The sequence below is a fragment of the Homo sapiens genome, chromosome 11 (genome assembly GCF_000001405.40).
Source record: "Homo sapiens chromosome 11, GRCh38.p14 Primary Assembly".
Classification (NCBI taxonomy): domain Eukaryota; kingdom Metazoa; phylum Chordata; class Mammalia; order Primates; family Hominidae; genus Homo; species Homo sapiens.
In genome coordinates this window covers 93,358,241-93,380,250 of record NC_000011.10, presented here as the reverse complement: position 1 = coordinate 93,380,250, position 22,010 = coordinate 93,358,241, and the positions used below count along the sequence as shown (strand labels likewise).

General features: G+C 36.5%; 1 protein-coding gene across 15 annotated transcripts in view; it reads right to left on the bottom strand.

Annotated features, from left to right (window-relative positions):
• DEUP1 (deuterosome assembly protein 1) overlaps positions 1 to 22,010 on the bottom strand; it is a 108,473-nt gene that overhangs the window by 58,220 nt on the left and 28,243 nt on the right. For all 15 annotated transcript variants that reach the window (XR_007062456.1, XR_947798.3, XR_007062457.1 and 12 more), the window contains exons 5-7: positions 15,957 to 16,091; positions 10,065 to 10,178; positions 8,971 to 9,213 (exon numbers count right to left, since the gene is read on the bottom strand). Coding sequence is in view for 12 of the 15 variants with exons in the window: in XM_011542631.3 (XP_011540933.1) it covers positions 8,971 to 9,213; positions 10,065 to 10,178; positions 15,957 to 16,091 (492 nt within the window). In the remaining 3 variants the exon portion in view is untranslated. The remainder of the gene's footprint in view (positions 1 to 8,970; positions 9,214 to 10,064; positions 10,179 to 15,956; positions 16,092 to 22,010) is intronic.

Genomic DNA, 22,010 nt, shown 5'->3' with positions numbered 1-22,010 from the left:
GAAGAATATGAGAAAAATGACTCACTTCAAAATTACAAAAGGGTTGATCAATTTTAGCACTATTGACATTTGGGACTGGGCAATTCTCTGTTGTAGGGTTGTCTTGTGCACTGTAGGGTGTTTAACAGCATCTCTGGCCTCTACCCACTAGATGCTGGTCACACTCCTTTCCTTGTTGTGGTGACCAAACATGTATCCAGGCATTGCCAAATATCACGTGGAAGGAAAAATCACTGCAGTATAGAGCCACTAATTTAAATGAAAGTCATAAAAATTAGGCAATGAGTACTGCTGTTTTGCAACCTTTAGTATAAGTAAAAAGACTTCACAATTATATTGACTTCTATGAGTAGCTGGATTTTAATTTTGTTAGTTATATTCAGGAACATTAATAAATTATTAAGTACATTAATATATAAATACCATAAGAAAAAATCAAAATAGGTAACATGGACTTTCCTTAGCCCAGGCAACCCACAGAGCCTTCTCAGGTGTGCATGTAAGCCCCTAGAAGTCTGTAGAAATCTTTGCGGAGTAGGAAGAAGTGTGGTAAGTTACATCCTGTTGAACTTGGGTCAGAAGAGTAAGTTAATTAAATAATATCAGTAAATGACAGGGCAACCTTGGCCAGCAGCTGGTTTGATTCTTCTTACTTCCTGCTACACATTGACTCCCAAGTTGCATGCACTCTCCCTCTCCTTGCCACCAGGAGTGTGTCATTGTGATAAGTGTGAGAAGCATAGGCTTAAGGCATTTATTTGGAGGGAGAGTAGAGATGGTGATCCTAGCTAGGAATGTTATAATAATGTTCCTCAATGTACAGTCTTTCCCTGTTTGCAGCATTTTTTCTTTTAACAAGATTCTCCATTCTACTTCCTGGAAAAATATAAACAATAAAGTTCTGAGGAGGAGAAAGGTGGAGTTGATCAAGGAAAGCATTATAGAGAAAGTCAGTCATACTGCCAAGAAAGAGGTACAGAGGATCTTTTTTTCCCCAAAGAATACAGGTGTAAAAGTAGCCACTTCTATCCCACAAGTGAGCCAAAAACAAAAGCTGACTCTCAGCCTGAAAAAGGGCCGCTCTTGGATCCTGTAAATGGCCCCAATAGAATTATTTTTGGGGATATTAAAAGGAACTGATGTTAGTGAAGAAGGTGAACTTCACTGAAGGGTAGAACCAGACTTGATAACTGGGCCTACTAGTGAAATATGTTTCAGGCAAACTAAATAGAACAGAGCAAAATGAGCCTGAGCAGAACATTGATTTGTATGGATCAAATCCAAAAAGACTTAAAGAAGAGAAAAAGCAGGGAAAAATGGCAGATGGGAGGCAGGACTAACTTGCAGCTCCCACTTGGACAGACATAGCAGTGTCTGGAGAGACACATCATGAACTTTTGCTCCAAGAACTACTGTAGGAACATGCCAGGAGGGCCAAGAGAATCCATCCCTAGGGAAAGTGGGAGAGCACCACATCAAGGGAGCACCCCATGGGACAAAAGAGTCTGAACAACAGCCCTTGAGCCCCAGATCTTCCATCTGACATAGTCTACCCAAATAAGAAGGAACCAGAAAAACAATTCTGGTAATATGACAAAACAAGGTTCTTCAGCAACCCTGAAAGATCACACTAGCTCGCCAGCAATGGATCAAAAACAAGGAGAAATCTCTGAATTGCCAGAAAAATAATTCAGAAGGTCAATTATTAACCTACTAAAGGAGGCACCAGAGAAAGGTGAATACCAACTTTAAGAAATCAAAAAAGAGAAATAGATAGCATAAATTAAAAAAATCACAACTTCTGGAAATGAAGGACACACTTAGAGAAATTCAAAAATACACTGGAAAGTCTCAGTAATAGAACTGGACAAGCAGAAGAAAGAACTTCAGAGCTTGAAAACAAGGCTTTCAAATTAACCCAATCTGACAAAGACAAAAAAGAATTTAAAAAAATGAACAAAGCCTCCAAGAAGTTTGGGATCATGTTAAGCAACCAAACCTGAGAATAATTGGTGTTCCTGAGGAAGAAGAGAAATCTAAATGTTTGGAAAACATATTTGAGGGAATAATTGAGGAAAACTTCCCTGGCCTTGCTAGAGATCTAGACATCCAAATACAAGAAGCTCAAAGAACACCTGGGAAATTCATCACAAAAAGATCATTGCCTAGGCACATAGTCGTCAGGTGATCTAAAGTCAAGATAAAGGAAAGAATCTTAAGAGCTGTGAGGCAAAAGCATCAGGTAACCTATTAAAAAAAAAACCTATCAGATTAACAGCAGATTTCTCAGCAGAAATCCTACAAGCTGAAAGGGATTGGGATCCTATCTTTAGGCTCCTTAAATGAAACAATTATCAGCTAAGAATTTTGTATCCAGTGAAACTAAGCTTCATAAATGAAGGAAAGATACAGTCTTTTCCAGACAAACAAATGCTGAGAGAATTCACCACTACCAAGCCAACATTAAAAGGCACTCTAAATCTTGAAAGAAATCCTCAACATACACCAATATAGAACCTCCTTGAAGCATACATCTCACAGGACCTATAAAACCATAATGCAATGAAAAAAATAAGTATTCAGGCAACAACTAGCATGATGAATATAATAGTACCTCACTTCCAAATACTAACGTTGAATGTAAATGGCCTAAATGCTCCACTTAAAAGATACAGAGTGGCAGAATGGATAAGAATTCACCAACCAAGTACCTGCTGTCTTCAAGAGACTCACCTGACACATAAGGACTCACACAAACTTAAGGTAAAGGGGCAGACAAAGATATTCCATGCAAATGGACACCAAAAGCAAGCAGGAGCAGCTACTCTTACATCAGATAAAACAGATTTTAAAGCAACAACAGTTAAAAAAGGCAAAAAGGGACATTATATAATGATAAAAGGACTAGTCCAACAGGAAAATATCACAATCCTAAACATATATGCACCTAACACTGGAGCTCCCAAATTTATAAAACAATTACCACTAGACCTAAGAAATGAGATAGACAGCAACACAGTAATAGTGGGGGACTTCAATACTCCACTGACAGCACTAGACAGGTCATCAAGACAGAAAGTCAACCAAGAAACAATGGACTTAAATGATACCCTAGAACAAATGGAGCTAACAGATATTTACAGTCTATGCAACAACTGCAAATATATATTCTATTCATCAGCACATGGAACATTCTACAAGAAAGAACATAAGATAGGCTACAAAACAAGTCTCAACATATTTAAGAAAACTGAAATTATAGCAAGTACTCTCTCAGACCACAGTGGGATAAAATTGGAAATCAACTCCAAAAGGAACTCTTAAAACCATGCAAATACATGGAAATTAAATAACCTGCTCCCAAATGATCATTGGGTCAACAATGAAATCAAGATGGAAATTAAAAAATTCTTTGAACTGAACGATAATAGTAACACAGCCTATCAAAACCTCTGGGATACAGCAAAAGCAGTACTAAGAGGAAAGTTCATAGCATTGAATGTCTACATCAAAAAGTCTGAAAGAACTCAAATAGCAAACCTAAGATCACACTTCAAGACACCAGAGAAACAATAACAAACCAAACTCAAACCCAATAAAAGAAAATAAATAACAAAGATCAGAGCAGAACTAAATGAAATTGAAACAAAAAAAATTCAACAGATAATGAAACAAAAAGATGGCTCTTTGAAAAGGTGAATGAAATCAATAGACCATTAGCAAGATTAACCAAGAAAAGAAGAGAGAAGATCCAAATAAGCTCAATTAGAAATGAAACAGGAGATATTCAAACCGATACTACTGAAATACAAAAGATCATTCAAGGCTACTATGAACACCTTTACAAGCACAAAGTAGAAAACTTAGAAAAGATGACAAATTCCCGGAAATATACAACCCTCCCAGAGTAAACCCTCCTAGATTAAACCCTCCTAGATTAAACTCCTAGAAGAAACAGAAACTCTGAAAAGAACGAGAGCAAGCAGGGAGATTGAAATGGTAATATAGGCCGGGTGCAGTGGCTCATGCCTGTAATGCCAGCGCTTTGGCAGGCCAAGGCGGGCAGATCATTTGAGCTCAGGAGTTCGAGACCAGCCTGGCCAACAACACAAAAATACACTAAAAAATACAAAAATTACCTGGGTGTGGTGGTAGGCACCTGTAAACCCAGCTCTCAGGAGGCTGAGGTAGAAGAATTGCTTGAACCAGGGAGGCAGAGGTTGCAGTGAGCCGAAACTGCACCACTGCACTCCAGCCTGGGGAACAGAGTGAGACACTGTTTAAAAAACAAAACAAAACAAAACAGTAATATGAAAATTGCCAACAAAAAAGTCCAGGACCAGACAGATTCACAGCTAAATTCTATCAAACATTCAAAGAAGAATTGGTACCAATTTTACTGACACTATTCTAAAAGATAGAGAAAGAGGGAATCCTACCTTCAATCATTCTGTGAAGCCAGTATCACCCTAATATCAAAACCAGGAAAGGATATAAGAGAAAAAGAAAACTACAGACCAATATCCCTGATGAACATAGATGCAAAAACCCTGGACAAAATACTAGCTAACTGAATCCAACAGCATATCACAAAGATAATCCACCATGATCAAGTGGGTTTCAAATGAGGGATGCAGGGATGGTTTAACATATGCAAGTCAATAAATGCAATACACCTCATAAACAGAATTAAAAACAAAAATCACATGATCATCTCAATAGACACAGAAAAATTATGTGACAAAATCCAGCATCCTTTTATGATTAAAACCCTCAGCAAAATTGGCATGGAAAGGACATACCTTAAGGTAATAAAAGCCATCTACGACAAACCCACAGCCAACATTATATTGAATGGGGAAAGCATTCTCCCTGAGAACTGGAAGAAGACAAGGATGCCCACTCTCAGCACTTCTATTCAACATAGTACTGAAAGTCCTAGCCAGAGCAATCAGACAAGAGAAAGAAATAAAGGGCATCCAAATCAGTAAAAAAGAAGTCAAACTATCTCTGTTGACTGATGACATGATCATATACCTAGAAAACTCTAAAGATTCATCCAAAAAGCTCCTAGAACTGACAAATGAATTCAGTAAAGTTTCAGGATACAAAATCAATGTACAAAAATCAGTGGCACTGCTATACACCAACAGTGACCAAGCTGAAAATCAAATAAAGACTCAACCTCTTTTACAATAGTGCAAAAAAAAAAAAAAGAAAAGAAAAAGAAATACTTAGGAATATACCTACCCAAGGATGTGAAAAACCTCTACAAGGAAAACTACAAAACGCAGCTGAAAAAAATCACAGATGACACAAACAAATGGAAACACATCCCATGCTCATGGATGGGTAGAATCAATATTGTGAAAATGACCATACTCCCAAAATCAATCTTCAAATTCAATGAAATTCCCATCAAAATACCACCATAATTCTTCACTGAATTAGAAAAAAATTCTTAGAATTCATATGGAACCAAAAAAAGAGCCTGCATAGCTAAAGCATGACTAAGCAAAAAGAACAAATCTGGAGGCATCAAATTACCAAATACCCTATACTATAATGCTATAGTCACCAAAACAGCATGGTACTGGTATAAAAATAGGCACAGAAACCAATGGAACACAATAGAGAACCCAGAAATAAACCCAAATACTTACAGCCAACTGATCTTTGACAAAGCAAACAAAAACATAAAGTCTGGAAAGAACACCCTGTTCAACAAATGGTGTTGGAATAATTGGCAAGAATAATTGGAGAAGAATGAAGCTGGATCCTTATCTCTCACTTTATACAAAAATCAACTAAAGATGGATCAAAGACTTAAATCTAAGACCTGAAACCATAAAGATTCTAGAAGATAACGTTGGAAAAACCCTTCTAGACATTGGCATAGGCAAAGACTTCATGACCAAGAACCCAAAAGCAAATGCAACAAAAACAAGGATACATAGATGGGACCTAATTAAACTAAAGAGCTTCTACACAGCAAAATAAATAATCAGTAAACACATAACCCACAGAGTGGGAGAAAATCTTCACAAACTATGCATCTGACAAAGGACTAATATCCAGGATTGATAAGGAGATCAAACAAATCAGGAAGAAAAAAACAAACAATCCCATCAAAAAGTGGGCTAAGGACATGAATGACAATTCTCAAAAGAAGATATACAAATGGCCAACAAACACATGAAAAAATGCTCAACGTCACTAATGATCAGGGAAATGCAAATCAAAACCACAATGCAATACCACCTTACTCCTGCAAGACTGGCCATAATCAAAAAAATAATAGATGTTGGTATGGTTGTGGTGAAAAGGTAACACTTTTACCCTGCTGGTGGGAATGTAAACTAGTATAACCACTAAGGAAAACAATGTGGAGATTCCTTAAAGAACTCAAGGTAGATCTACCATTTGATCCAGCAATCTAACTACTAGGTATTTACCCAGAGGAAAAGAAGTCATTATATGAAAAAGATACTTGCACATGCATGTTTATAGCAGCACAATTTGCAATTGCAAAAATATAGAACCAGCCCAAATGCCTATCAATCAATGAGTGGATAAAGAAAATGTGGCATATATATACGTATATATATATATATATATATATATACGTATATATATACATATATAAATATATATACGTATATATATATGTATATATATATGAATACTACACAGCCATAGAAAGAAACAAAATAATGGCATTTGCAGCAACCTGGATGGAATTAAAGACCATTATTCTAAGTGAAGTAACTCAGGAATGGAAAACGAAACATCATTTTGTTATTGCTCCTACTTACGTTCTCACTCATAAGTAGGAGCTAAGCTATTAGGCTTCAAAGGCATAAGAATGATGTTGGGGGACTCAGGGGAAAGGGTTGGGGGTGGTGAAGGATAAAATACTACAAATTGGGTACAGTGTAAACTGTTCAGGTGATGGGTGCATCAAAATCTCAGAAATCACCAGTAAAGAACTTATTTATGTAACCAACCACCACCACCTGTTCCCCTGCCAAAAGAAGAAGGGACAAAGCAGAGAATGCTTTGGTTGGCACTGGATGACCCCAAGCCTAGAGGAGAATACTTGGGAAGTACCAAGAACAACAATTTTCTTATTTACTGAATGTGATTCTGATGCAGATTCCAGCAGTACAAAGACAGCTGCAAAATGTAAGTATAGGTTGCCTTTAAATAGAAAGCATGACCAGTTGTCATATACTTAGCGAAGCAAAAGGCAGCAGCCTCTGAGAAGGAAAGACCCCATCACTGCATGACCCGCAGTCATGCAAACACAGCTCAGACAGTCGGAGGTGGGCTGATGCTAAGCACTTAGAAGCCCCTAGGCACCCTCTAGAGCAGATGAATGAGTGCTAACCTCATTTATATTAGAATGAAGCCAGAGAAAACACCATCAATACCTTTGCTATTTCCAGACTATTTCTGGCTTCCTCTGCATTTAGTGTTTGTAGATTAGCTTTCTTTATTGGTTTACATCTGTATTCTAACTTGTATTAGAATAAGACCTCCCTCCTTAAAGCTGGAGTTTGAAGTGGGGAATATGTATGTCTTACAATTGCCTCTGAATGGGAGAGACTGGGAGCCTTGAATTCTGTCCCTTACCAAGCATGGGGAAAGAGGAACATAGAACAGTAGATGCTGGCAGAGAAAGAAGTTAAAGGACTAACTCCCTATATAATCCCAAATATGATGTGGCACGGTGGGGGAATGAGGAGTTGGCTGAGGACTAAGAAATGACCCTGGGAGTTTAAGTGGCAAAAGATCTTGGGGTGGTATATCTCAAGGAAATGAAATGGAAGTTCTCAGGCAGTGACCTTACCTCAATCATGTATGCTAGGTAGACGAGGGAATAGAGTGGGGAAAAGATATCGGCCAACTGTCATGGAGGAAGTGATAGAAACAGGCTGAATATTTGGAGGTGGGAGAAAAAACCTAAAATGGGAGATAAAAGAACGTCTCAAGTACTGATGAATAAGAAATACATATTTTGGGCCGGGCGCGGTGGCTCACGCCTGTAATCCCAGCACTTTGGGAGGCCGAGGCGGGCGGATCACGAGGTCAGGAGATCGAGACCATCCCGGCTAAAACGGTGAAACCCCGTCTCTACTAAAAATACAAAAAATTAGCCGGGCGTAGTGGCGGGCGCCTGTAGTCCCAGCTACTTGGGAGGCTGAGGCAGGAGAATGGCGTGAACCCAGGAGGCGGAGCTTGCAGTGAGCCGAGATCCCGCCACTGCACTCCAGCCTGGGCGACAGAGCGAGACTCCGTCTCAAAAAAAAAAAAAAAGAAATACATATTTTGTAAAGAAATTGGTAATGACCAATTTTGATGAATGCTGTATAACCTTCCTAAAGGTTGCAAGAAATAGACAAAAAAGAAAAAAACATTATTCAGTTAAGAAAAAAAATTAATGCTTGTTAAACCATCAATCATATTTGTCAATGTGAAAGTTACCTAAAAATAAATTCTAGGTTACTGTTTGATAAATGATTATGATAAGATTACCAGTGATAAATCACTGGAGTCATCTCCATAGCTCTCACTGAGGTTACTAAATTGTTGAACCCTTCACGATTTCCTGTATCTTTAACCCAGGATTCTTCTGAGTCAAAGAAACACAGGGTAAGAGAAAATAGTGGGGGAAGAGGGTAGTACATGGCTAAAGGCATAGAGGTCCGTAAGTGACCACTATTATATTGCACTGGTAATACATTATTATTATGCCACCGCAGAACCAAAGTGCACTCTAAGTGTGGTAACATACTTATGGGATTATTGAATCTACGCATCAAGTGCGAATTACTAAGAGGAAATATGAATGGAATCTTCACATATATTAATAATAGAAAACTACCATTCTAATCATTCTAATCTCTATATGTGTTACCATTTATACAAGTCATGGACAATATTAGTTGAAAAAAAATTAATCTTCACCTGGCACTGTCTTTGGTACATTTTCAGTTCTTGCAAGAGCTTCTGATTTTCATCTTGTAATTTATTCCTGCTTAGTGCTATCTCATTTACAGCTGATTTCAGTTTTTCAATAATGAACTCATCTCTTTCATTGATTTCACAATTGGGATCTGGGTCACATATCAAACGAGGAATTTCAGAGCTGCTGTCTTCTAAGCACTGTTTTTTACCATTTAGTTGAGTTTGGTAACTTTGTGCCTGTTTCTGAAAAATATAAAAACTGTGTAACTCAAATGAAGAATGTCATATTTAAGCTTACATGAAGTTCAAGAATGATAGAAAAGAATTAGTAGGAATATCTTTAAATATGTTACTACATAATGAAAGTTGGGTCTTTGTAATTCAGTCTTATATTTGTTTTAAAATTTCAATTTCAGATGGCATATAGAGAAAATATATTTGTATAACCTCAGAGCAAAGATGTAGAGTAGAGAAGGAGGTTAGTGGTAGTAAAGCCATACTAAGCAAGAAAAAAAATCTAGAAGGTGTAAAAAATTCAATTATACAATGGTTGAAAAAAGTCTATAACCAAAAATAAATAAAAACAAACAATTTGATTGTAGGGGAAAAGTTGTCAATGCATGTAACAGAGTTAATAATTCCTAGTGTACAAACACTTCTACACATCAATAAGAAAAGGGCAAACAATGCAAAAGAAAAATGGGCAAAGTTTATGAATAGGCAATTCACAGAAAGACCTGAGATAGGCTAAAAAGTATATGAGGAGATGTTCAGTCTTACAAGTAGCCAGGGAAATACAAAGTAAAGCAAGCAATCGTAAATTCTTTGAGTGCCTTGCCTGTAGGCATGCAAAAACATATGCTATTTAATGACACAATAACAATGGAATTTTAAATAGCTCCATCCTTTGAGACATGTAGACTAAACTCACCATTAACAGATATTCTATGCACTTGTGACTGTACCCACCTTTGGACCTACTCTCGTTTTTTCTTAGTTGGCATGTCTGTTTGTAAATAGATTACTGGTGAATGGTAAAGATACCAATATTTAACTTCTGCTTTTGATTTAGAGAATAGTATTAGATAACTTACCTGAAACTGATTACACTTCTCAGATAATAATTTTTGTTGAGCATCTAAAGAAATCAGATGAGTCTGATATAATATCTCTTGCTTGTCCCATTCTCTTGACTTTGCTCTAAATTCCTTTTAAAAAGTGGGGAGACAAACATATTTAAAAATGTTATTCATTTTAAAGTACAGCAAATAAGGCTTCTTTCATTTGTACATCTTCATTCTGAGAAAAAAAAAGTAAATCCATTCTTTTTTTTTTTTTTTTTTTTTTTTTTGAGACGGAGTCTCGCCGTCGCCCAGGCTGGAGTGCAGTGGCGCAATCTCGGCTCACTGCAGGCTCCGCCCCCTGGGGTTCACGCCATTCTCCTGCCTCAGCCTCCCGAGAAGCTGGGACTACAGGCGCCCGCCACCTCGCCCGGCTAATTTTTTGTATTTTTAGTAGAGACGGGGTTTCACCGTGTTAGCCAGGATGGTCTCGATCTCCTGACCTCGTGATCCGCCCGCCTCGGCCTCCCAAAGTGCTGGGATTACAGGCGTGAGCCACCGCGCCCGGCCGTAAATCCATTCTTTACCTATTAGGGAAAACAAACAAAAGAAAAGGTGTCAAATCATTCATGTTGGATTTTTTACCATCTCTAATTTTTGCTAGGAAAATACAGAATTTGTCACTTATTGTTAAAAATGTAAAAAGTCTGTCTTATAACAAATACTTATTACTAATAAGGGAATTTCAAACAACTTTTTTTTTTTTTTGCATTTGCCACTACTTTCTTTCTATTTCTTGACACGAAATATTTTTTCCTTCATTCACTCAGTTGCCAAATTTCTCCTCTTGTTTTTTTAGAGGGTGGGGCTTGGACTTATTTAGTGACTATTAAGGACTGAATGTTTGTGTCCCCCACAACAAATACATATGTCAAGCCTAAACCCCAAAGTGACAGCATTATGAAATGGGGCCTTTGGGAGGTAATTAAGTCATGAGAGTGAAGCTCTCATGAATGGGATGAGTGCTCTTATAAGAAGAGCTATGAGAGATTTTGTTTCCTCTCTCTTTCTTTCTCCCTGCCATCTGAGGATACAAAGAGCAGACAGCTATCTGTGAACCAGGAGAAGGGCCCTCACCAGAATCTGACTATGCTGGGGGATATGGTTTGGCTCTGTGTCCCCATCCAAATCTCACATTGAATTGTGATCCCGAGTGTGTGTGTGTGTTGGGGGGTGGCTGGTGGGCACGGGGGTGGTTTCTTTTTTTTCTTTTTTCTTTTTTTTGAGATGGAGTCTCGCTCTGTTGCTCAGGCTGGAGTGCAGTGGCACGATCTTGGCTCACTGCAACCTCTACCTCCCAGGTTCAAGTGATCCTCCTGTCTCAGCCTCCTGAGTAGCTGGGATTACAGTCACGTGCCACTACACCCGGATAATTTTTTGTATTTTTAGTAGAGACAGCATTTCACCATGTTGGTCAGGCTGGTCTCAAACTCCTGACCTCGTGATCTGCCTGCCTCAGCCTCCCAAAGTGCTGGGATTACAGGCGTGAGCCACTGCGCCCAGCCTGGTGGTTTCTAGCAGTTTAGCACCATCTCCCTAGTGCTGTCTCTTGATAGAGTTCTCATGAGATCTGGTTGTTTGAAAGTGTGTAGCACTTCCCCCTTTTCTCTCTCTTTCTCTCCTGTTGGCCACGTGAAGACATGCCTTGCTTCCCCTTTGCCTTCTGCCATGATTCTAAGTTTCCCAAGGCCTCCCCAACCATGCCTCCTGTACAACCTGTGGAACTGTGAGTCAATTAAACCGCTTTTCTTCATAAATTACCCAGTCTCAGGTAGTTCATTATAGCAGTGTGAGAATGGATTAATACACAGGCACTCTGATTTTGGACTACCAGCCTCCAGAACTGTGAAAAATAAATGTCTGTTGTTTATGCCACCCAGTCTATGGTATTTAGTTATAGCAGCCTGAACTAACTAAGACAGTGACTTTGCCCCTTGTGGCCATGGCCAGGCCTCATTTAGGCAGTACCAATTGGTATAACTGGGAAAGAAATGGTAGAAGCAGGTTGATAAAGCAGGATCAGTTCTTCAAGTTTTTGCTCAAGTAGTGCAGTTATACAGCATGATTATCTGTTCATATCTTAATAACATGAGCAAAGGATATAGCTCTGGGGATGCCAAAGAAGACATCGCTGCTTCTCCATTTTGCCTAGGGCTGACCATTTATATCCTATCTTTCTGTCCAGGCTTTAAACAACTTGAGGGTAAGGGCTCTTTATTACTTTTGTACCATTCACAGTGCCTGACAAAGTGCCAGGTGCCACTTATATTACATGAATGTACGAACAAAAACATGGTACAGTATTGGCATTTCCTAGAATTTAAACATTCTCAAAAAATGTTGTAAAGAAAACAACATGGTTGGAAACAAACTTTATAGCTACTAAGTCCATGGCTGTATATTATTGCATATAGAAACATGGCATGAATGTAGTGATGTTTTCAACCCTCAATTCAGTAATATTTATTTAGCAGTTAATGTCCACCAGGTTCTGTGGAAAGAAGAAAATCTGGAACTATTTCATAATTTAAAAAAATTTTTGAAAGAAAAAATCAAGGAATATATAATAAAGTAGGGAACTATACACACAAACAAATAATTTTACAATATGTCAGTATGTTAAGTACAATAATGCTGACACATAAAAGCCATGCAGAGGATTTTATGATTATCTTAGCTATTTCCCACAATATATCAAATTGGAACAGTTCATTATAGTCAGAGTGGTTACTATTGTTTTGAAGATGGTTGAAATGACTGGATTGGCAATGCTGGAAAACAAATGCTAATTTAGAGAATGAAAGCTTTATTTTGTTAAAATGAGAAGAACATGGCATTTCATATTTTCTATACAGAAATAATTTTAAAGAACATTTAAGGAAATTTTAGTTTTTAAAATCCATAAGTGCCTAAACAATCAGTGAAGGAAGGCTATAAATTAGGAAGTTTTTACTTTAATGAAAGGTGGGTGACCTGATATTAAGTGATGGTATTAAGGCCGAAGAAGAAATATGGAAAGACCCTCCACATATAACAGTAGCTCATGATAAACAGACTATATTTACTATGATAAATGGAGATAGTCCATTTAAAGTTATTGACTTCGATTCTGACATTCGACATACAAAAATTAGGTACATAAAAACAGGGTCTTTAGCAATAATGGCAAATTTATAAAATGAGGTTCTAGTAGAAAATAGCTAACATTTCAAATTAATGCAATCTAGATTTAAAAAATTTCTGTTTACTTTTAATTTAAAAAGGAATCTTTGGAGTTAGAAGTCAAATTTTGGGCAAGATTGACTTAAGCTGTTCACAGGTTTTAGATAATAGAAATATTTAGCATTTCTTACTCATTAACCTCAAATAATCTTGAAAATAAATATTCCCCAGGATGTTTTAGAGGCAGAAGCATTAACCTCAACTTCTTATAAATACTACAACAGGTAGAAGCGTGGCCAAGAATAGCTAGAAATGTGTGTCACAAACATATCAGCAGGTGCTTATGACAATCCTGGCTTCCTTATTCTTCTCAGATGTACTGGTTTCACAACTAGCGAGTCAGCGCAATATATCCAATAGTATGGAACCATGCAGGGACCTAGAGAGCTTCATAAGGGTTTTTATAGAGACTGGAGTTGTCACGATAGGCTTCAGAGGGTCTGTAGATTTGCCTGGACCTCCAACAGTAAGTTCTTCATGGCTGGAAAAGTTTTTCTGGATCTTTAAGGTTTAGAGTGGATCAGGGTCATTAAAATTAGTTTCTCTTGATAGCTGTATTATTAGATGTTTTAAAAAGCCCTCTAATAAATATTGGAGATGGTCTTTAGTGATTACTATATGTTGGAGACCTTCACCTGTAAAACGGTTTTAACTTTTTATTATGAAGATTTTCATACACACAGAGTAAAACAAACCTCCATGTACCCTTCACCCAGTTTAACTACCATCAACTTAGTCCATCTTTACTTCTCCTATCTCTTCACCCTTTTTTGTTGGTATATTTTAAGGTGACTTCTAGACCTCGTGTGTTTTCATCCCTAAACGCTTCAGTGTGCATCTAAATTTTTTTCACCATAACAACAATGTTACATATAAGGTATTTTAAACCCCATTTACTGATGACAACATGGAATCTTGGTGAGGCAAACAACTTGCCTAAAGGTCACAGGGCAAACACATGAGTCAGGCAAGGCCTGTTTTCAGTTATCAGTGATCATGTTCTTTGACTACTACATGTGGTACACTGCTATTACTATACTTCTATTAAACACCTCAAAGGTAAAACAGGTTTACCTGCAGACTAAAACTGGAAGGGCCAATCTCTTACACATTAATTTATCAGATGGCTATAAGTAAAAACAGGTACATGAAGTGTTTTTATAATTATTTCAAGTTAAACTGTATATCTGCATAGAGTCTTTAAAAACTTTTGTGTAAGTGCAAACATATCAAAATATTTTGCTACTAATTTCCACTATAATTTCATTACATATATATAACGTAAATATTTAGTTTCCTAAATGTAAAATGTGCATACACAAAGTACTTGATACTAACTTAAGGCTTTTTTTGTCTGAAAAATTTTTATTAATGTAGTTCTCCCACAAAAGCCCATGAAAAGTCAGTCGAATGGAATATTAGTGACTCAATCTCTTCATTTTCAGTGAAAGCACATGTATATTACAGTGCACATCTATCGGCATCTTCCATGAGGTCAGGATATTTCTGAAGCCCGTCTGGTTGTACCACTGCAAGAGCCTGGGAGTACAACACAGTGCATTTTCCTAGAGGGCCAACTTACTTAGTGATGGTAAGTTTGTTTTTTTAAAAAACTATGTATTATTCAGAAGCATGTAAAATGTGCTGGACTTTTAAAGATTAAAATCTAGGACTTCCTACAAAGATCTTATAATAAGCCGATTTTAGGGCTGTGATCCCGGATTTAATTTTTTTCTGCTCTTTAAGATATTTTAAAGTAGAAGGACTTTTTAATTAAAGATGAAAAAGTGCTGGCAAGGGGAGGGATGCTGGGGTTTAGGGCTTGAGAAAAATGAAAGAAATTAAGTGGGATAACATAAGGGTCAACTTGAAGTCAATTAAAAAATAATAATTGGGCAGTACTGAGAATCCAGGTAAAAGTAGATGATAGGAATTTATAGTGTAATCTTTCTGCTGTTCCATGACTTGTAGGAGGAATGCTCAAGAACACAGGGAAGAAAAATAGCTGGTTTGTTTTTTCCAAGGTTGGAAAACGAAGAAGATAAGAATAAGTGCATCAACGACACAGTGTATTTTTAAAGTTTTTTGTTTTTAATTTTTGTGGGTACATAGTAGATATATATAGTTATGAGGACATAGTGAATTTTTTTTAGAGACCAAAATTTTAGAAATTCTGAATGCTTTGGGGCAATTGAATTGGAGTGACATTATGCCTTTAAAGAAAAAAAACCATGAAACTTCAAGCCCTGTTTTAAAAACTGTGATGAGGCTTCATTGGGATTTAACTACCTAATAGCTAAATGGCCATTAAAAGATTTATTAGATATTCACTTTAACTGACCCCAGGGGTGTCCTTCAATTTTACTCAACAGCTGCAGTTTCTTTTGACTTTTTTGGCTCTTTTTTTTTTAATCTCCCAAAATGCTGATATATGCAAAAGATGTATACATCAAAGTGATGTTTTAATTCACTAAGTGCCTGAGGGGAAGGTGCACTAAGAAAATATATTCAGTGAGAAGTTAGTTTGTAATAGTGTTTATTACCACAACTGAAGACACCATTGTGGACACTAGAGACAAATAGCCCACAACAATAGGAATCAATCTTTAATACACATGAAGAAACTAAGATAATATATCTCACCTCTAATTTCTGGTTCAAATTGCTCAGTTCAAAGGGTATTTCTTCTTTAAGGTGTGGTAATTCTTTTCGTGGAACTTTGTTTTGTTTCATCTGATGTAATCTCAGTTTTTCAAAGTTATTTGTTAGTTTGGAAAACTGTAAATCACAGAAAATGTTAACATTTTACTATTACCAATTATTTCTAACCTGATTTCACTATATCTCTTTTCCTGTGTACCTCTTTGAAAATTTGTCATGATTAGAAAGTGCAGTAAAGCTTAAATGTTTCAATTAGTGAAGACAGAACCAGTTATTAAAACTAAATTATTGAAGCTGAACACAATTCAGCTTTCATGTAAACTCGAGATTCATTAACTGCACAGTTAAACAATTATTCACTTGATAAATGGCTTGTTCAATTTTGTTTTAATCATATGCAGCAAAGCTCACAATTTTTTTAAAAAACAAGTTTTTTTCTTACTTTTAGTTAGTGCCGTCTTGTGTTTACAATTTTAAATCCAGTAAATCTACAAAATAACTAGCTTATACCTTACTTAAGAAAACAGAATATGTATTAATTTAAAAGACATAAGTAACATAAGCCACTTATTCATGTGGATACGTTTAAATAAATTTTAATATCAAAATTGATCTAATATTTTTCTTAATGATAATTCTTTTTATAACATTGTATTATTTTTTCCATTTCCTGTTCTACCTTCAAATAATAGATTCAAAGTAGCATAGTTTATGAACATTTGTGAGGAAATTTCTATACTCATGTATCTGTTTTCAAATGTGTCTTGTTTACACATTTTATTTTAAAATAATTATAGGTTTACAGGAAGTTCCAAAGTTATTACTGAGGTCCCAGGTTCTCTTCACCCAGTTTCCCCCAATATTTACATCTTATTGAACCACAGTACATCAAACCCAGGAAATTGAAATTGGACCAATATATGTATATAGTTCTATGCCATTTTATCACATATATAGATTTATCTGACCACAACCACAATCTAGATATAGACTATTCTGTCACCACAAAGATCTCCTTCATGCTATCCCTTTAGAATCACACTTAGTCCCCTCATCCCCCAACCCCTAATCCCTGAAAACCACTAATTTGTTTTCCATCTCTATAATTTTGAGAATGTTATAAAAAGAAATCATACAGCACATTACCTTTTGGGATTGTATTTTTTTCACTCAGCTTAATGTGAAAGCCATGCATGAATTCCTTTTTAGTGCTGAATAGTATTCCATGGTATAAATGTATCAGTTTGTTTAACCATTCATATATTGAGACATTTTGATTTTTTCCAGTTTTTGTCTACTGTAAATAATGCTATGAACAATGGTGTCTACTTTATCAGATTAATTAAAGTAGCCACTTCTGCTTTTTTCCTCATAATTTTAAATTGAGATATAATTCACCTACTATAAAATTCACCTGAATAATATTCCATTGCATAAATACACTACATTTTGTTTATCCATTCATCAACTGATAGAAATGTGGGTTGTTTCCACTTTGAGATATTATAAATAATGCTACTGTGAACAGTTACATAGAAGTTTTTGTGTAGATACATGTTTTACTTTCTCTTGGGTATATACCTAGGAGTGGAATTGTTGGATCTTATAGTAACTTTAATAACTTTTTGATGAACAGAAAAATTGTCTTCCAAAATGGCTGTACCATTTTCCATTCCCATTCACAATACATTGGGTTACAATGTCTCCATATCCTCTCCAACACTTGTTATTTTCTTTTTTATTATAACCATCCTAGTGGATGTGAATGGATATTGTGGTTTTGGTTTCCATATCCCTAATGACTAATGATGTTAAGCATTTTTTATGTGCTTATTGGCCATTCATATATCTGCTTTGGAGAAATATCTATTCAAATATTTATCCATTTTAAAATTTGGTCATCTGTCTTTTTATTATTAATTAGTAAGTTATTCATATATTCTAGATACTAGTCCCTTATCAAATATATGGTTTACAAATATTTTCTCCCCATTGCTGGGGGTCTTTTCACTTTCCTGATGGTGTCCTTTGAAGCACAAAAGTTTTAAAATTTTAATGACATCAAATTTGTCTAATTTTTTGTTGCTTGTCCTTTTGATGCCATATCTAAGAAACCATTGCCTAATCCAAGGTCATGAAGATTTACTCCTATGTTTTCTTCTAAGAGCTTTTTAGATTTAGGTTTTACATTTGGATCTTTGATCCATTTTGAGTTAATTTTTGTCTGTGGTTTAAGGTAGGGCTCCAACTTAGTTCCTTTGCATGTGGATATCCTCTTGTCATTGCACCATTTGTAGAAGAGACTAATCTTTCTTTATTGAATTATCTTGGCACCACTTCTGCTTTCTATTAATATTTGCATGGTATATTTCTCCATCTTTTTAGTTTCAACTTGCCTATATAGTTATATTTGAAGTGAGTTTGTCATTTTTTAATTTATTGTCAATCTCTGTCTTTCAGTTGGTGTATTTAGACCATTTCTATTTAATGTAATTATTGATATGTCAAGGCTTAAGCCCTTTTTTGTTTCCTGTTTGTTCTCTAGCTTTTGGTTTCTCTATTTTCACTTTCTTGTCTTCTTGTGAATTACATGAGCATTATTTTAGAATCCATTTTATCTGTAGTGTTTTTGAGTATATCTCTTTGTAGATCTTTTTTAGTGGTTGCTGTAGGTATTACACTATATTTACATAATTTATCACAGTCTATTGGTGTTTGACATCTTTCCAGTTCAAGTGTAGAAATCTTACTTTCCTTATGTTCTTTTACTCTGTTCCATTTATAACACAATTATCTTAGTGTTTCCTGTACATATACTGAAAACCATATTAGACAAGGTTATAATTTTTTGCTATCAAAAAATTTAGAAAATACAAGAGGATAAGGAAAGTCTATTGCATTTCCCCCCATGTTTTTTACTCTTTTTGGTGTTTTTACTTCTTCGCTGATGTCTTAAGATTCCTTCTTTATCATTTCTTTTCTGTTAAGAGAACTTTCTTTAGCCATTCTTTTAGGGTAGGTCTGCCAGCAACAAATCCTTTTAGTTTTCCTTCGTTTGAGAATGTTTTAATTTCCCCTTCATTCCTGAGGGGTATTTTTGCCAGACATAGAATTCTGGGTTGAAAGCTCTGTTCTTTCAGCACTTGAAAGCCTCCATCGTTTCCAGAGAGAAAGCCACCATTATCAGAATTGGTTTCCCCAATAGCTAAGGTGTCATTTCTCTCTTGCTGCTTCCAAGATTTTTTTCTTTGTCTTTTGGTTTTCAGAACTTTGACTATGATGTGTCTTAATATGGCTGTCTTTTGATTTATCCTGTTTGAAGTTCACTCAGCTTTTCAATCTGCAGGTTTACTTTTTTTTTTTTTTTTTTTGCTAAGTTTTGTAACTTTTCAGCTATTATTTCTTTGAATGCTTTTTCACCCTCCCCATCTTTCTCCTCTCCTTCTGGGTTCTCTGATGATATAAATTTTAAATTGCTTGTTATCATACTACATGTCCCCAAGGTTCATTTTCTTTTACTCTTTCTCTCTGTTGTTCAGATTGGATAATTTCTATTGTATTATCTTCGAGCTGATTCTTTTCCCTCTGTCCTCCTCATTCTGCTTTTAAGTCCATCCATTGAGTTTTTAAATTTGGTTATTATACTTTTCAGTTATAAAATTTCTAATTGGTTCTTTATATTATTTATTTGCTAAAGCTTTATAATTTTTCATTTATTTCAAGCCATATTTGTAATAGTTCATGGAAGTATTTTTATAACAGCTGCTTTAAAATCAGATAATTCTAACATGTGGCATCTTGGCCTTGGCATCTGTTGAGTGTCTTTTCTTATTCAAGTTGAGATCTTCTTGGTTCTTTCTATAATGAATGATTTTTATTGATACCTGGACATTTTTGTGTATTGTGTTTTGAGACTCTGGATTTTATTCAAATATTGTGTTTTAGCAGTCCTCCTCTGACAATTTCTAGAAGGGAAAATGGAGTGCCCCTTTATTACTGCCAGGGGATAGTGGATGTCCAAGTCTTCACTTGGCTTCAGTTGGTATCCAATGGGAGGTGCTCCTTATTATTGCTGATTGGAAGTGGGAGTTCAGGCTCCCCACTAGTCTTTCACTAATACACTTTGATTGAAGGGGCATGGGTGCCTTGTAACTCTTCTCACATGGCCTTCAGTGATACTATAGTGGGGGTGGGTGAACTTGTCACCACTAAGCAGTGGTGACTCCTCAACAGCCTTCCTATGATACCACCCGAGAGTAGACAGGGAGAGGTGCCTCCTTACCACCAGGTAGGTGTAGAAGTCCAGGCTCTCCAATGTCACGATGGGTTGATGAGGGCCTTGTTAATGTCTAGTGAGGATGAAAGTCCTGGCTCTCCACTCAGTCTTCTCAGACATTACCCAGGAAAGAGGGCCCGGGTTACCTTGTTACAGCTTAGTGAAGGCAGAAATCTAGGTTTTTCCACTAAGCCTTTGTAGGTGGCAGTGGGGCTATAGTTTTTGTTGTTGTTGTTGTTTGTTTGTTTTCTGTTTTATTAGGCTGGAGTAGAGAGGTTGTTATCTAAAAGTGTATTATCTTGGTAGGCTGTCTCTCTTCTGGTCTTTTGGCTGGAGAGAGCAGACTTTCCTTGGGGCTCTTTTTGTTTGTTTGCACCCATTGGCATAACTGGTTTGCCAGCTTCTGTTACTCAGTCTGAGATATATGAGGCAAAAACAAATCCTAGGGAACTCACTATTGTGACATTCTTGAGTCCCAAGGTCCTTAGCCAATCTGTCTCTTCTCTCCACTTCTCAGAGTCTTATGTTGTTTTATAAATGATGTCCAATTTAATCGGAGGATAGGGAAGAGTATATCTATTCCACAAGCAAAAGCCTCAAATTTATGTACTTGAAATTATAGTTTTATAATAGTTAGAAGGAAAAAAAATAACTCCTTTTTAAAAGGAAAGCAATTTCTAAAAGGAAGCTTTGACAGAGTTGAGTTATTCAAGGCAGGGTGTGGTAAAGTGTATCCTTAAGATGTTTCAGGAAAATGAAATTGTAAATAAACCAGAAATTTCAAAGGAAGAAGCTGTAGAGTGAGCTGGCAGCAACAAAAGCATGTTAGCCACAAGATACCATTTTCTGCTTAGAAAAACAGCATATTACTAGCTTTATGCAAACCGAATCAAGTACATAGTACTTTTCTTTTTCTCTCTTTTCCCCTACTTTCCTCCTTCCTTCTCTTTTGCTCTCCTTCCCTTTCTTCCTCTTTTTCTTTTAACTAGAGAAAAAGAGAAGCAGAAAACTGCAGTGAAAATAGGTGGCTCTCAACAATAATGTAGCATTCCCAGTGTATTCCACGAAACCCCTGTTTACAGTGGTATCAGAATGTTTTAGCTTAAAAAAAGAGAAGAGGCTGGGCATGGTGTCTCACGCCTGTAATTCCAGCACTTTGGGAGGCTGAGGTGGGCATATCATCTGAGGTCAGGAGTTCAAGACCAGACAGGCCAACAAGGCGAAACACCATCTCTATTAAAAATATACAAATTAGCTGGGTGTGGCGGTGCGCACCTGTAATCCCAGCTATTTGGAGGCTGAGGCACGACAATCACTTGAACCAGGGTGGCGGAGGTTGCAGTGAGGGGAGATCATGCCACTGCACTCCAGCCTGGGCGACAGAGCAAGACTCCATCTCAATTAAATAAATAAATAAATAAAAAGAAGAGCTCCATTGTCCAATATCTTTGGAACACGATGGATTGGAAAGGCTAAATCAGTTTGTTTAAGGCAGGACTTCTTATGGCCTGTAATATGCTAATGTGTACCCTTAATCTCCAGGAGGGGAGGAGTCTTAACTTGGCCAGCATTAGCTTAAACAGCATTTCCTAAACTCACAGTGTTTTCCACAGAACAAATTTTTATTAAGTTACCATAAAGATATTTTTTGGTTAGCACTGAAAACCAGCCATCAGCCAAATAATAAAATAGAGCGGCAAAGCATCAAATGGCAAGGATTCATATATTAAATGACTGCTTGGTGCCTGTAAACAAAGCCA